This window comes from Homo sapiens, chromosome 12 (assembly GCF_000001405.40).
Source record: "Homo sapiens chromosome 12, GRCh38.p14 Primary Assembly".
Lineage (NCBI taxonomy): Eukaryota > Metazoa > Chordata > Mammalia > Primates > Hominidae > Homo > Homo sapiens.
Window position 1 is genome coordinate 20,614,858 of NC_000012.12, and position 17,351 is coordinate 20,632,208.

The 17,351-nt window shown below is 35.6% G+C and overlaps 1 protein-coding gene across 5 annotated transcripts in view; it reads left to right on the forward strand.

The window, feature by feature from the left end:
• PDE3A (phosphodiesterase 3A) overlaps window positions 1–17,351 on the forward strand; it is a 320,047-nt gene that overhangs the window by 246,321 nt on the left and 56,375 nt on the right. For 4 of the 5 annotated variants that reach the window (NM_001378408.1, NM_000921.5, NM_001244683.2 and 1 more), the window contains 3 exons: window positions 1,373–1,527; window positions 6,439–6,554; window positions 15,051–15,270. In NM_001378408.1, coding sequence (NP_001365337.1) covers window positions 1,373–1,527; window positions 6,439–6,554; window positions 15,051–15,270 — 491 coding nt within the window. The remainder of the gene's footprint in view (window positions 1–1,372; window positions 1,528–6,438; window positions 6,555–15,050; window positions 15,271–17,351) is intronic. The other variant, NM_001378407.1, reaches the window with a different exon arrangement.

Consider the following 17,351-nt stretch of genomic DNA (forward strand, 5'->3'; position numbering starts at 1 on the left):
GTCTTTGTGAACTATGCCTATGTGGTTGGTTTATTAGGAGTGATTAGCCGCAGATAAAAGTGGGTTGTGGTTCTGTGTGTTATGACTGTTGCTGAAGTTATAGGAAAAAGACCTTCGGTTTAACTTTTTCTTTTCTTTTTTTCTTTCTTTCTCTCTTTCTTTTTTTTTTTTTTTTTTTTTTTGAGACGGAGTCTTACTCTGTTGCTCAGGCTGGAGTGCAGTGGCGTGATTTTCGCTCACTGCATGTTGGCCAGGCTGGTCTCAAACTCCTCGTGACCTCAAGTGATCCACCCGCCTTGGCCTCCCAAAGTGTTGGAATTACAGGCGTGAGCCACTGCGCCTGGCCCAGTTTAACTTTTAAGGTCAAGAACCACTTTAGAGTGTTGGTGCTCATCCTAGTGATCCCAGACTCTTGTCTCAGTGCAGATGATGCTACATGTCCTGTTTAGGATATGGTGGGAGAAGAAATAAGAAGGGGAACAGCAGGTTGGCCAGCAGCGTCTCCTATTAAGAGGAGTTGACACTGATGACATTACCCATATCTCTGTTGTCTAAGTTACATTAATCATAAGAGAAGTGGTGCATTTTATGAAAGACTTGAGCTCCTTTCATTTGTGAATGAAGATAATAAAGTCAATAATACTTGGGGGTATGACTGTGGTGCAAGGTGATATAAATTAATTCATGCCCCCAAACAAGTGACTTTTGAGGAAGAACTTCTCATAATAACTAATATGTGTGTATAGGTGTGTAAATCCTGTTGAATAAATATAACTATAAAATTATCCCAGAGGCAATTGACTCTCACTCCTATAATCACATATTTGTATAAGCATTGAAATAAAGACCCTAAAAGGTTGGTTATGTATTTATTTATTTATTTATTAGACAGACTTCTGCTCTTGTCACCCAGGCTGGAGTGCAGTGGTGTGATCTCAGCTCACTGCAACCTCCGCCTCCCAGTCTCAAGTGACTCTCCTGCCTCAGCCTCCCGAGCAACTGAGATTACAGGCACCCACCACCACGCCCAGCTAATTTTTGTATTTTTGGTAGACGGGGTTTCACCATGTTGGCCAGGTTGGTCTCAAACTCCTGACCTCAGATGATCCACCCGCCTTGGCCTCCCAAAGTGCTGGAATTACAGGCGTGAGCCACTACGCCTGACTGCTTATTTTTATAATATGCATTCATTTTGGCCAGAGAGTCTTTTATTAAATTTCTGAGCACTCAAATTTTAGATAGATAGGTGATATTAAACCAATGTAATTTAGTCAATTCACTTCTAATTAAAAGCTTGTTTCCTTCTATTATATTACATAAAATTTAAGAGATATAAAATATTCTGGGTAATGAAGTCAAGTCTCTTTCCTAGCGCCTGAGAAGGAGTTTGCCTCCTGGCTTGTTGAGACGAGTTTCTTCCACTTGGACCACCACCACCTCGGCCACAGGTCTACCCACCTTGGAGCCTGCACCAGTACGGAGAGACCGCAGCACCAGCATCAAACTGCAGGAAGCACCTTCATCCAGGTGGCATACGGCTCCTGCTGGTTTAATGTCTCTTAGAGAAGTTACTTGCCAAAAATGAGTTATAAATTACAGGAGAAGGAAGGCTAACCAATTACATTTGGTTGGAGGTCAGCTTTGAAGATGGAAAGGGTACATGGTTCAAATGCAGAGCAGTATAGGGGTTAACATCAGATAATTAGGCTTAACATCTGTTGTGTGGCCTTATATATAAGTGGAAAGAGTGACTTGATGTGATCTCTGCCATTGTGACCTTAGATGGGAAGGGTTAAGCCCAGGATAAAGGTAGGTAATTTTATCTACATTGAGATTCATACCGAGACCCTTAAATCAAAAGCATACAACTTGACATTTGCATTTGATATGAGATCCCCCAGCCCAGTCATTAGCCTCCCACAAGACCAGCTGTCTTAGCGTTGTACAAAAGACAAAAGAGCAAATCAAAAGTAGATCATCCTAAGAACACCTAGATATGTTCAAACATTTGGTAATTTAAACTTTTCTGAGGATATTAATTCCAATTTTTGAAAGCAACTTAAAAGCCAGAATTATCAAAACTAAAGAAAAGGTTATATTAACATCTAAAAAGAATCTTGAAGAAAATAGCTAAGGAAAGTGCATTTAGAGGGAGATACTGTGTCCTTTTCTATTTAGAATAAAAATATTATACTTATCTTACTTTATTCAAATTCATTAATTGTGAGAACATTTACCGTATGATTTCAGGTTTTTGAAACACATGTATAAGTTTTATCAATGACCTAATGAATGAAAAAATATCCACATCTATGTCGTATTATATGACAGCAATATCAGAAGTAATTTTCTCCTGATCGTTAGCCTGGGATATAAATAAACCACCATACTGAGACTAATAGAAATATTTCAGATGATAAGAATTTAATGACTGCTGACCTTTCTTTTTTGATTAAAAATTTTTAATTGGTTTCTTCCATATTATTTGTATTCTAAGACATCTATAGAATTGGAAACAAACTCAAATGTCATTGTATATTTTATATGTCAGTATAATCCCACTCCATCCTATTACCTGGACTTTTGTAAAACTTGTAAATGAGACAAGAAGAGATTATGTAGTGTTTCATGAAAATTTCCTGACGGTTGAAATTAATTAGAAGTCAATGATCAATATTTTTCTCTAAAAATATTGATCATTGACAATTGCTACAGCAGCAAATACTGATAAATGCTAATAGTATTATAGTTAACTATTGCTTAATAAAATGAATTATGTTTTCAGCATGTATCATTAGAGTCTGCCCATTTTGCCAGTGCAACTTGCTAAGTTTCCTGTCATAGTATAGGTAATGCTTCATGATTTCCTTCCCATAGAATGACTCTATGAAAAATCCACTCATGCCTTCTCAAATGCCTTTTATTCTGTTATTCTTTGTTACTTGTAGTCAAATCCTATCTCCCCTGCTTTTCTCTTCTCTTAGTCAATTAAATGAACTTGAGGGTTTAAATTGAAATGATGACAAGGAAGGAAGTTCCAAGGACTTTTAAGAACTTAACGCCCAAGGATCTTGTCATTCTTCTTTGTAAAATGGATCATCCAAATATTTACAATAGAAATAAGGAAAATACTTACAATAGAAATAAGGAATAGCATACAATTCCATTCATTCTCATTCTCTCATTCCTGAAAATACTCGTAGATGTCTTGTCTGGACATTCATTTTCCTCACTGCCTAATATACTATCTCATAATCTCACTGTCCTATGAAAAGTACTGATGTAAAAATCTGAAAGCAATATAATTCCTTCATCATTGTGAAGAAAGGAAATTCATTCTGAATAGAATTTGATCCCTTTAAGGGAAAACTATTTATAAGTAAGTGGCAGTAGTACCACCACTAAATACAGCTAGTTTTGGCTTGATTATAAATCACAGTCAAAACCTTCTTTTGAGTTTTAGCCCTGAAATTGCTTCCCTTTTAGCCCTTTTATTTATTTATTCCTTTCCATATCTTTTCATTTATTGGGTTTCTTTGAGGAAGGACTACATTGATCAAAAGAAGAATAAGAATGAGAAATAATAAAAATTAGAAACACAACTTAACTCATATTCCTTTATATATACAGCTGGATAATTTACCCCTGGGTAATTTTAAATACAGTCTGGTAGAAAGCACACTGGACTGAGAATCTGAAGGGTCTTGGCCCTACCAACCACTCAGAAATGAAATGTACTGTGTTCTTAGAGGCAAGTCATTAGCCTGCCAGAATCTCTGTACCCAATTACAAGGAGTCATTAGGAAAAAGGGGAACTATGACATAATTGGAGGGGTAAATTAGATGGAAGAATACAAGTAGGTGCTTAAAAAATAGGCTTTAGAGAAATAGGAAAAGCTGAAATAAATCAGACCCTAAATGATTCCAAGTTGACCTTGGAATTGACCCCTGCCTGTGTATTCAGGCAAAAAGAAGGCAGTAAACTTGGCAAAAGAGACTGTTACCTGATCAGACTTTAAGGACTTAGAATGGAGTCATTACGGGGATAATAAGAGCATAAGACCACCTTTGGGAAGAAGATTGAGATCTTCCATCACAGGCACATAGATAATTTTCCTCTGCTGTGCCAGCATGAGAAAACCGTGTAAAGCCTTTCCTAAGCTGTTCTGCTTTACAGAATCCAAATTATTTCATATTCATGAAATTTAAACAGGAATCAGGAAATAAAGGACAGCGATGAAAAGCTGAAAACTGTGAGGGTCTCACACAGCAATATATGAAAGCACCTGTGAACTATAATGCATTTATATATAATACATTGATTTATTGTATTAATAGTAAAATACAATTATTTAGTGTATTAAGAATGTGATATGACTAGGATGTTATTTATCTTGAGTTCATTAAATCTGCATTTATTAAAGATACTCTAGTGTATTTTGCAAACTTGAAAATGAACACATTTTAAATGTTTTTATTTGAAAAAAATAGTAAATTGTTGAGATAGCCTTCATAATATATCTTTCTGATATATTAAAACATTCAGTTACTGTAAGGCATTGTCTTTAAAAAGCCTACTTAGAAAAGTAAAAGTAATAACCTATTCACTGTATTATGTAATGAGAACTGCAAACATTTGGGCCACATATACATTACATAATATTTCTTCACAGTAATCAGTTAGTCAATCCAGCAAAATGAATTAAAAGGGACCAGCATCACGAGAAAATAGTCAGTGTTGTTATCTGTTTCAGATCCAAAGTTTCTTTCAGCTCATTATTTCCTAAATGCCAAGAACTTGTGAAATACCTAGGATGTGCTTTCTGAGGAAGATGTCAAAGAAATATTTTTATGCCTTACTTAATTGCATTTTATAATTGCTGAAGGTCATACCACATTTCAAATGTCCTCATATATGGAAAACTGCTATTAGAAGTAAGGAGAAAAGATGAAGTTTTAAAATACCTGGGTCAGTAGTTGAAGAAAAATCTCTCTGAAATGGAAAAAAAAAATTGAGATAACAAGTGTCAGAGTGTCAAATTGACCTCAACACAAATTACACATCTTACCCATTGCCGAATTTACTAGTAATTAATGGATACAGACAATAGTAAGACCCATGCTTAGCATTCTTTCCTTTGAGAGGTCTATTAGTACAATTTTCTGAAAGTCCCTTTATTCCACATTAGCACATGTTCTGGTTTGGATTTAGCATGCAGTGTTCTAAGCAATGCATGCATAATATTACTTGCACAGAGGGAACCATTTTAGCTCTGGAACCTCTCCAAATTATATCGTATTAATTATAAGCTTATATGGCAATCTCCATGCATCCATGAGCCCATAATTCTATCAATTTTAGGTTTATTTACAATAGGCTACCCAGACAGACCAAGCACATCCTGCTTACATTGCCAATCTAAGATTGGCAAAAGATCAAATTGTCAAATCATATTTACGTAAATTATAGATTGTACCCAGTACCAAATTTACTAGTGCTTGAAAGGACACAGGTGTTAGCAAAACACAGACCAAGCACTTTTCCCTTGGAGCAGTCCAAGATTGTCAACACAACTTTCGAAATTCCCTTCTCTCCCACATTAGGATGGAGTCTATTTCAGATTCAACATGTATAAGTTTTAAGCAACACATGCAGAGAAATTTTGTCTTGGAATACCTCCAAAATTTATATCACAATCATTGCATGACTTACATAACATTCTCTAGTTCAGTCTTCCATGAATCTATTAATTCCACATTTATTTGCAATAAGCAACCTAGGCAGACCAAGTACATCTTGGTAAAAGCATTTGCTAGAGGAAGATTCTCCATTGCCTTTCTCCTAGTTCCTATCATCAGTGTGTTTAGCATCAGCTCCATTGTTGGCATGTCCCTTTTTACAAATTCCCTTGTAAAAAGGTAATTTGACTAGATCATTTCCGTCACAAGGAAATAATGCAAAAAAAAAACACCATTATTTATGAATGATTTCATGGTCATTCAATTTTTGAATACAGATCCACCAAAAATAATAGAGTACTGAAGTAAACATTATGACACTTACAGCTTATGTAAATTCACCCGCATCTTAACCAGTTAATCTGTAAGCCTCTTTTAGAAAATCTGTGAGGAACGTAATTTTAGAGTACAGTGAGAAGGTGTTTAATTTTTATTAATTGGATAATAAGAAAGTTATCTTTCCTCTTTGTTAACCCAGTATGCTTGATGAGTAACTGCTATATCCCTGCAACAGAGATTGTTTTTACATAATCTGTTTCATCATTTGGAAGTACAGTGGTTCTGTCACTGAACCTGAACCAATACTCAGATTGGCAAATCTATTAGAGAAATGATGGTTGGGTTCTGGCAAGACTGGCCCAATAACTGATGAATAATTTGTTTAATTTTCTTTTAATTCTGTCTTTCTGGTGCTTTTAGTCCTGATTCTTGGAATAATCCAGTGATGATGACCCTCACCAAAAGCAGATCCTTTACTTCATCCTATGCTATTTCTGCAGCTAACCATGTAAAGGCTAAAAAGCAAAGTCGACCAGGTAAGTAACTTAACTGGAGAAGGGTTCATACTGTGAGTGTGGAGTTCTAGAGTAAACCAGACCTTAAGCGTTGAAATATTCTGAGGGTGCCCTATATTCAGATATGTTTGGTTTGTCTATTCTAATAACCAATTAGTTATTTTTTAGAAGTCTCAATAACCAATTAGTTATTTAAATTTCTACCTTATGTGATAATACAGATTCCTTCAAAGTTGTTGTATCAGATTTCCTATCTTGAACTAATTAGATGCATAGGAAATCACTTTTACCATCAAGGATCATCTGTGGTAGCATCATCTCATAATAGAAATTCCAATTTTTTAGTGTCTGTTAAAATTATTTTTCAGGAGTATGATATATATGAATTCAAGAAAGTGTTTTATTTACTACACATGAGCTATGATAAGGAATTTAGATATCAAAATTAAGAATAATAAAGCTTTAAATGGGAACATGAAATGATATCGGGGAAGACTACCTCATTTGTTCAGGGTCCTTGCTCACCCAAAACTGTAAAAGGAGTTTTTGTCAGATTCCGTCTCTGAATTGCCTTTCCCCTAGAAGCCCAATTAAGAACCTGGGAGATTTCCTCTGACCTTTCCTTTTTGGAATCTAACTTCATGGTTTCACTTCTCAGTATTACAGAAAATATCAATGAGATTTTCAGTAACTTCCTGCTTAGTTTCTTAATCTTCTGCCTTTAGCAGTTTAAGAGTTCATCAAATGGTTAAAAGGAAAACTGCCCACTTCCCACTGAGATATGAAACATTCAAGTTCTGGCTTCCATGGCAACCCCAAACTCCAATTTTTATGTCACCAGCCTCATGACATTGCTAGAAGCTCTGCTGGCTTGCCTCCCAAATAGCTGCACCCCTCTGTCTGGATCCTTCACTTCTTACTCCATGCCAATAGTCAGTAAATCATGCTATGAAGGCAAGAACAATTTGCAGGATTTTGGCTCACCTTTCTGAGGTTCTCTTCTTTATGGGAACCTAGTCCCTCAGAATTGTGTGCTTTGCCTCGATAGCTTTTTTGTACCATTTTATTGGAATTACATCAGTAAAATAGACCATTAAGGTAATCTACTTTTCCAACAACTAATCTGGTCCTCTCTGCTCTTTAGAAATGTTCATTAAATTTTGTCACTTAGAAGTCATTATTGACCTGCTAATAAAATTGAGCTTTCATCAGGGCCAGGCAATGTAGGCTAATGTAGGCAAATACTTAAATTGAGATATTCCTGAAGGCAAATACGGATTTGCTCAGTAATAAGGAGAATCATCTGGGACCCCAGCAAGGTAGAGAAACTGCATTTGAGAATTCCACATTAAACCCAAGACTCTTAAAGGGGTGCTAAAGTGATTTTAGGTATGTAGGACCCCTTGGCTCCCTACAAAAATATATATGGATACTTTTGGAAGGGAAGCATCACCAGTTAAGGGCCATGAGATTTTATCAGATCAGATTCAAACATGGAGCTTACAACCAGGATCACTAATTGCACAAAGAAACACCATGAGTTTGAGTTAACAGAAACAAAAATATAACTTTCTAGATCTGTAAAAGGGTTAAAATATTTAAATTAAAATTTAATTTAAAAATTTACATATTTAAGGAAAAATAATAGCAATGAGAAAAGACATAACTGCAGAGCAGCTAAATGTAACTTTTGGAAATGTAGTCAAGGAAATATTAAATAGCATAGTAGACTACTGAAGAAAGAATTATTAAACTGGGTAGAGAAAGATCGGAAGAAATTATCCAGAAAGCAACACAGATGAAGAATTGGGAAGTATAATAGATTTTAGGAGATATAGAAAAATGAGTCTAATGTACATGATATATGTAATCATAGTTTTAGTAGCAGATAGAAGACAAAAAATACTTAGGTGAAGCCTAGTAAATGGAAAGAAACTCACACGTAGATACAAAATAGTGAAACTACACAACACCAAAGATATACACAAACAAAAATCCTAAGGTCTACCAGAGAAAAGACAAATTTCCTTTTCAGAAAAGGCAGTCAGGCTGAGAGCAGAGTTGTCAGAAATACTGGCAGTCAGAACACAGCAGAATATTTTCTTCAAATTTCTGAAACAATATGGTAACCTAAAATTTTGTGCCTGGCAGATGCATCTTACAAGAATAGGAGTGAACTAAAGACAATTTGAAAGAAGTCAAAACTTTACCACCCGCCAAATCTTTACTAAAGGAATTTATGATGGATATATTCTAGAAAGAATATATGATGGATATATTCTAGAAAGAATATATGATGGATATATTCTAGAAAGAATATATGATGGATATATTCTAGAAAGAATATATGATGGATATATTCTAGAAAGAATATATGATGGATGTATTCTAGAAAGAATTTATGATGGATGTATTCTAGAAAGAATTTATGATGGATGTATTCTAGAAAGAAGAAGAAGAAGAGAAAGTTTGAGATCTAATGAAAATGTTAAACAAATCTGAAAACCATGGGTCAATCCAAACAAACATTAAATTCATAAATAATAGTATTTCCAGATTTGTGAATAGTTTTTATAAGATTTTTTAAGGACAGAACTAAAATTTCAGACAGTAATAATACGTAATTCAAGAGATGAAATATAAATTTAAGTGTTCTAAATCCATGTGTAGCTCAAAAAGGGGGTTCAGATGAGGAAACTGAGGGAAAAGAAGGTTAAGTAATTTGCTTTCTCTGGGTCATGCAATTAATCCTGAATACTTTCTTTTGTCCTAATGACTTCATACTAGAAAAAAATGAGGATGACAAATTGTCATAATTTAAAACTAGGATATTTTGGGTTCTGTCCTTGGGTGGGTACAAGATAATGGAAGGGTTTGGTTTTCTCTTCCTGTTTCTTCGGTTAAGTAATAACATAAAAAATATTGAATAACCAACATGATAAGATCAAGAAGCTGAAAATTATGGTTAGGGCAGACCCTGGAAATATCAGATCAAGTGATGGAACAGCCTCATATTCCTGTGTCCTGATCCCCAGTTTGTATGACTTCACTCTAGAAGAAAGAGCAAAGGAGCAAAATGTAAAAGGGAAGGAATGTCCACATAAGATACCACATGGGCAGGTGGTAGGAATGAGAGCCACAGGCATAGCAAGAGCCCCCTTCCATTCTTGCCATCAAGTGCATAAGGCATTTCTATCATGATCATTTTGGAGTGGATTTTGCATTGTGGCATCTTTAGACAGCTGTCACAGCACAGCTAAAAGTTTATAAAATAACCTATATCCCAGGCATGCTGAATCCAACTAATTAAATTCCTAAAGTTCAGCCAAAAGAGACAAACACATCTATCAAGAATCAGAGAGCCTAAAGAGATTACAACCCTCCCTAATCAGATGGGCCCTTCTGCTTTAAAATCCTTGCTTCCCTGTTTGGGTTGATGGAGCTAAGTGGTTGTGACATGTTTGATGCAGTTGACTGTGATGCATCCTGGTTTTCCATAAACTCCATGGAAAGAAGCTGGGAAGAGCCCCCTCGTGGCAAAGAGTGTAAGCAAATGGAATCAAATGAAATGTGAAGAGAGTCTGAGGAAACATGTAGCAGCAATAGGCAATGAGGCGGAGGGAAAGCGAGTATGAAGTAAGAAGAGGCATACAGAAAGATAAATACCCTGTTTCCAGAGAGGGCTAATGAAATCTGTTCTTTGCGCAAATCAAGTAAACAGCGTGTCCTCTAGTTCAGTCAATCAATGTTAATTTTAAATAGCTGAAACACAAATTATTATGCAGTTACTAATATAAAATAAATGAACGAAATCACATAGGACTCCTTTAATAAAAGCTTAAAAGCAGGAGATTCAAATATAATTTGTATTTTCAATTTTGCTCTTCTAGTATGAGTCACTGACATTGTGGAGCTACCATGATATTATTCTGCTTTAAAAATTCCTTGAATTTATCGTTACTGTATTTGCAGTAGTCCTTTCCCGGATTCTTGTAAGTTTGGCTGCCGACTGCAGTGATAAGAGATATCTCTACACCTATAATCTAGACTCTGTTTTTCCTATACAAAATTTGAAAATATAGAGAACTTTAATCATGGTATTGTGATTCTTCTTCTTTGGCATTCTCTTTAGATGCAATTTCTGCTTTGGAAAAAATATTCGGGCTATCCATTTTCACCTGGGCATGGAAAAAAAGAGATGTCTTTATCAGACAAGCTGGTTCCTTTTTTGTTCCATTAAAATTAAACTGAGAGAGTTTTATAGCACAAAACAGATGGATTCACTTAAATAATTCCCCTGTAGTATTGTTTATTTTCTCTCTTTGATTGCCCAAAATTCCTTGTGTCTTGACACACATTTTCTCATGCCCTCAGGAACAAGGAATTAAAGGCCGAATTACTCAAAGGAGTTGGCATTTTAGACTTTATTTTTAAAATTATATTTTTAATTTTTTGTTTTTAAATGTTTTGATTTTAAGTATTTCACATTAGGACAGTTTGAATCATTCAAAAATTTATATTTCATGAGCTATGTCTTCTTCCTGGAATCTGCTAAAATTACTCAAATATGAAGTGAAGATAAACATTAATATACTTGAGAGAATGCATGTTTATCGGAATCTCTTCACTCATGGGTGAGTGTGTAAATGTGTGAGTGTGCGATGTAAAATTAGATGAGATTTTCAAAGGTTTTAACGGTCATCCCTCTAACTTTAGACATGATTACATTGAAAGCATTTTAGAAAATTTTAAAAACTTCCAAAGGTTATTCATCCCTATTCCTTAGACTGTCCTCTTTCTGTATCTGAAATAATTTATTTATAGTTTATCCTTTCTATAAAGAAAATTTGGTTATTATCTGCATTTATCTCCCTATCTTTTTGAAGACCGATACGGTCTTCAAAATATGCATGCACATCCTAATTCTTTCTGTTTTTAAACTTTAAGTAAACTAAGATAATGCACACTAGGAAAAATAGTAGTTTGGCTTTGGAAAAAAAAAAAGAGAACTTATACTTTTATAACTTTAGCTTCTCACCTGCAGAATAGAAATATCCATGCTTCTCATGATTGTTGCCAAGAGTTACACTTTTTTTATATTTATTTATTTATGTATTTTTTGTGAGATGGATTCTTGCTCTGTCGCCCAGGCTGGGGTGCAGCAGTGGTGGGATCTCAGCTCACTGCAACCTCTGCCTCCTGGGTTCAAGCAATTCTCCTGCCTCAGCCTCCTGAGTAGTGGGATTGCAGGCATGCACCACCACATCAGGCTAATTTTTGTATTTTTAGTAGAGATGGGGTTTCACCATGTTGGCCAGGCTGGTCTCGAACTCCTGACCTCAAGTGATCTGCCCTCCTCGGCCTCCCAAAGTGCTAGGATTACAGGCATGAGCCACCGCGCCTAGCCGAGTTATGCTTTTAAAAGTGTTCAAAATATGTAGACAAACACTATAGAAGCAGAGCTTCTCTCTTACAGGTTTATTTTAAATTTCATCCCAGGCAGTAAATTTGATGTCTTAAAATCTGCTTGTTTGTTTAAATTTAGTTAATCCGTGAGTTCCAAGAACTCTAATGGTTGTGTGAATTTTAAAATGTGTGTTTGAGAGTGAATTGCATGTATCTGAAGCAATCAGCTGGCAGCTACTAAAACTTAGCAATGAAAAAATCACTCTTCTCATAAATTGCCTTCAGAAAAAACAGGGTGTCAAGACAGAAATGGACAATGTTCTCATGGGCTTTGAACTATTGTTCTGTTAAAAAAAAAAAAAAAAAAACTGTGTAGAAAACTGTCCCAAAACTCACAGTTTACTATGAGAACAGCTAAGGAATTGCCTAACACAGTGTCTATCAGGAATCTCTTTTTCTTATGACACAGCAATTACTTTTAATTGCTGTTTTTGCAATTACTTTTCATTGCAAAAACCACAATTACTTTTGCACCAACCTAATAAAACTTTGCCCTGGCCCTACCCAACCCTATCCAGACTTGCCCAGCAACCTCTCTGACCACGTTCCCTGCCCCTCTTTTTGCTTTTTGCTAAGCTGCCAGCCACTGACCTCCTGACTGCTCCTCTGACATCCCCCAGGTATGTCCCTCTTTCCTGAACATGCTTTCCCCAGCTACTTCTCTAAATGTCTTCTGTATTTCATGAGGCCTCTATTCAAATTTTACCCACCCCCACCCTTTCCCAGCCAGAGAGGCCTTCTCAGTCCACCTTATCTAAAGAGCATTTCTGTTCTTCCCTGCCTTCTACTCTGTGCATTGTTTTCTTCCTATTACTTGAATTTAAGTTAATTTTCTTTTTTATTGACTTTAGTTTTTAGTTTCTGTCTCCCCTAAAAAAGTGGGAGCTCCATTAGAGCAGGGTTTTTATTTTATAACCTACTCCATCCGTGGAGCAAGACTCACAATAACTACTTGTTGGATGAAGAAATCATTGAGATACTCAGTACAGATACCTCGGTAAACTTTCTACCACATCATACTAGGATTCAGCTCCTTAACGGCTACAGTGCCTTTCTAAGATTATCTGGAGTCCCTGTCTAAATCCAAAAAGTGGTCAAAACTAGACCAACCCTTTTTAACCTTTACATCAGAGCACCCATATATGTGTAATAGTATTTGTGAATATCGTAGCATTAGAGAAATGGGAAGGGATTTCAAGTTTGAAAACTAGACTTCCTTTATTTTATAAAATTATAATAAGAAAAACTAATTATGAGCTATTAGAGATAATATTAAAAATTGAGTTTTTTCTAGAGTTTCCAAATAAAATATTTCCTTTTTTAAAAATATTTTCAACCATTAAATAATTCACAGCAAACTTATAACCCACTTGCTGTGCAGAATCATACATTGACTGGGAAATTCTGAGTTAAAACCTTTGTGAACTTAATTTTTTGTTTTGTTTTTGGCTCAGGATACTATGTAATGTGAAGGTTTGTCGTTATCTTTGGAAAAATAAATGAGTCTTTTTAATAGACGTAGAAACCGAAATAAAAACCATCAGGCATGACGTAAGGAGCAATGCAAACGCTGCCTAATACGCCATGGGTTTTACTTCCCCCTTGGATAGTCTCTGATAGAGGTACTGGTTTATAAGCTGCATTTTACTAAGAGTAGCTGGGTTTACTCTATATTCTCCCATGTACTAGTACTGTGACCTTGGGAGGGTTTTTTAACCTCTCTGGGTCTAAGTGGTTTCGTTTGCTTAGTATAAAGGCTGGGAGGGGGTTGAGCTGCTGATTAGGAACTAACAATAGATATGTTGAGAAAGAACTAGAAGGGGTTGCTGCTCTTCACACTGAAGCAAGGGGAGAGTGAGATTTCTCATCTTTAACAACAACAACGACAAAAAGAAATAACAGCGCCAACAAGAAATTAAAAAGAAAATTACACACGAACACACAAAATCGTTCAACAAACTTAATATTCTTTTCAGTGGACCAGAAAACCTTTGGTATGACAACTCAAACTTTTGAGGAAGCTGGATCCTGGAAGCAAACTTTGCTGTAAGCCAGCTGCCAGCTAACCACACACATAATTTGATGATGTGAAGGTGGATGGCTGTAAATGTTCCTAAGTGGTGAGAAATAGACAACGACTTTTAATAATTTCATTTCATTTGCCCTACATTACATTGTTCAGCCATAAAATCATGAAAACCAGTAAGCAGGTTGTTAGGCAGAAGTTATTTCTCTCCTTTTTTCCATTTTAACTGCAGGCTGCCTTCTCTGTGTTTGGGAGAGAGTAACTTCAAAAGACATCGTCCTGGTCTTCCAACAGCCACGTTTTGAAATCTAAGCCAGTATCCTGTAAAATTCTTACAATCTAGAGTAAATACAGACAGTTTGGCCCAAATACCCATACTTGAAATGGAAACTTTAGGTCTATTGTTTGCTCTGAAATGGATTATATTACATTTTAAAATGTTTTCTTCAAAAATTATTTTGATCAAAGCACTCTTTCACACCGAAAGGTCTTATTTCACTGAAACTGCGAATGGTTAAGAAGGTTAATTTCCTCTCAGTAATGCATCTTCTGTATTTACATATTTTAAGCATCTGATGCCTGCTGAACTCTGCCCCCAGATACTGGTTAACGTTTAAAACAATAGCAGATCCTGTTCCTGCTAAAACCTTCACAACCTAAGAGAAAGTAAACACATGAGAAAATTTTAACTATTATTTCCATGTCAGAATGACAAGAAGAAACAAAAATGGGAGGAGAAAATAATATCCTTCTGTCCTGAAGTTACTCCACGACACCAGGGCTTTGGCTGTATGTGCCAACATTGCCACTATTTTTTTTATGATGATTCATTCCTCCCATTTAATGCTGTGGAGACACCCCAACCACACTGGCTTCAGATGTTGGTATGTGGAGGAGGCCAGCCCGGTGACCTGAGCAGGCACGTGGTTGTTACTGAGTTTGTAAGAGTCCAGGTGAAGTTCAACAGTTGCAATTTTGCATTTTAAAGACATTTGTTTAGTTACTTAACTCTCATTCTTTCTCAGGTGCCCTCGCTAAAATTTCACCTCTTTCATCGCCCTGCTCCTCACCTCTCCAAGGGACTCCTGCCAGCAGCCTGGTCAGCAAAATTTCTGCAGTGCAGTTTCCAGAATCTGCTGACACAACTGCCAAACAAAGCCTAGGTTCTCACAGGGCCTTAACTTACACTCAGAGTGCCCCAGACCTATCCCCTCAAATCCTGACTCCACCTGTTATATGTAGCAGGTAAGGATTTTTTATGAACTGAAGTTTAATAATAAAAACGATGATAGTTTTCCCCTAGAAATACCTACCACCAGCCCACGCAGCTTGGGGTAGGTTTGCCAAAGTATTAGACAACCAAGTATAGGATAATGTGATTTGTGTTGAATAGGCTACAATAAAAACTTATGTTTTAGTAGTTTTCTATTAATGAAGTTTAGAATCCATGCAGTTCATACAGCCAATCTTTAGAGAGGATACAAAACTGTTAGCTGTATATGTTGCCTGTTTGCTGATGGGGAATATAGAAAATATATAACTAAAAAATGATATCAAGTATTCTGTTGTAATTCTTCATTTTGTTGGAATGTTTGTACTTGTTCTCCAGGGAATGGGTTACATTGATATTAGGCATATTTAATTGTCAGTTTGCATTTCCCATTTTTGCAATTTTAAAATGTGTGAATAATACATTGCACAGGATGGCTGGACTCAAATAGTTCTCTGAATGAAATTTAAGCAATTGTATGTGCTATTCTATCATGTTGAAACAAAATTACAAAGTGTTATCTATCACAGAGGTTAAGAAAAAAATGGCCTAGCATGGCTGGAGTAATTATTTTGCCAATGTTGTCACGAAGAAATAATTATCTCTTCTTACTGGTTAATGTATTTTTATTGTTCTTCAGTAACAGCTTGAATAATTTATCTTAAAGCATTATGGTATTTTTTAAGTAGAAAAACAGTTGAGTGTTTTTAACTATGAGAGTACCTTGAATAAAACAGTATTTCATTTCTGAGGTTGATGAGGATAACTATTTGAATAAATGAGTAACTTGTTGGTTTTCTAGTATCAAATATTACCTCATAGACTCAGATTTTTTCATTGTATTCAGCTTTAAGAAATAGCAACTTATATTAAGCCTCATAATTTTCATTTTCATATTTTTTACTCATAAGTTCTGTAAATTAAATGAATGTTATTTATAATTTTTATTTTTACCTCCTTTATCTTTACCGGCATTTTTACATGAGAAATTATTTTCATTCGTTTGCCCAGAGCCAAAGTTATTCTACTATGCAAAAGTTATTCTGCTGCCCTCTATGAGTTTTTTAATAAAATAATTTCTGCAGGATATTAATCTCATCTCTTTTCCACAAAAGAGCAAGTTCTGTAGTAAAATATTCAGAAGATATATCATACATCCCTGTTAGAAATTCACAACACACATGGCTTTATTAAAACCTCTGAGAAGCTCTGTTAAAAGAATCCCTCTTTATTTATTTTTGTTGTTTCATTTAGTGTTTTCTGAATTTATTCGACCACAGAACCAATTTCTTTGGGTTAACACCCAAGAATTGCCCATGGATCGAATGTTTGGCAGAACACAATTAAGAAGCATTGTTTTATTGTATGCACCCTGAGCCAAGATGAAGCCCAGTGGAGTAATCTTCATCAAGGACATCTGGGTTCAGCATTTTTAGGGAGAGTCTCCCACTGTGGGTTCCGGACTTTTGGGAAATAAGTCCCCTAAAGAAAGGAGAGAGATGTTCAGAAAAGCTCTACCACTCACGCAGCTTTTTTCATCATAGTGTATTTTTTTTTTTTTTTTGTATTCTTAGCAGGAAGAATGTAATGGGATTTGTATAAAAGGTTTCAGAGAAAAACAAGAGGATTTCACTGTCTACTTGTTCAGTAATGTTTATAAATCCAGTAGTGTGTGTTTTATTTGTTTGGGCTTTATAAATCTGTAATTCAAACCAGGTTTTATTATTGCCTTAAAGGCAGCCACCCATGTAGGCACAGAGAGCTCCAGAAACACACAACTAATTGTTGTGGTTTCCCCCTGCTGAACTTGAAGAGTTTGGCGTTGAATCCCAGTCTCTTGGCTGCTGTAATGTCTATGCAACAAGCTATTTTTCTGGCATGAGAGCTGGCATATTTGAAGTACTAATTTAAATGGTCCTTTTAGGTATTATTTTGCAATGAAAAAGTTTAAGGCTAATAAACTCGACTTCTCCTGAGCTTCGTCTGAGAATGTAAGCCTACCAATTGCATCTCCTTTCTTTTCCCTTTTTGTCCTATCATTTTCTTTTTATTCTCT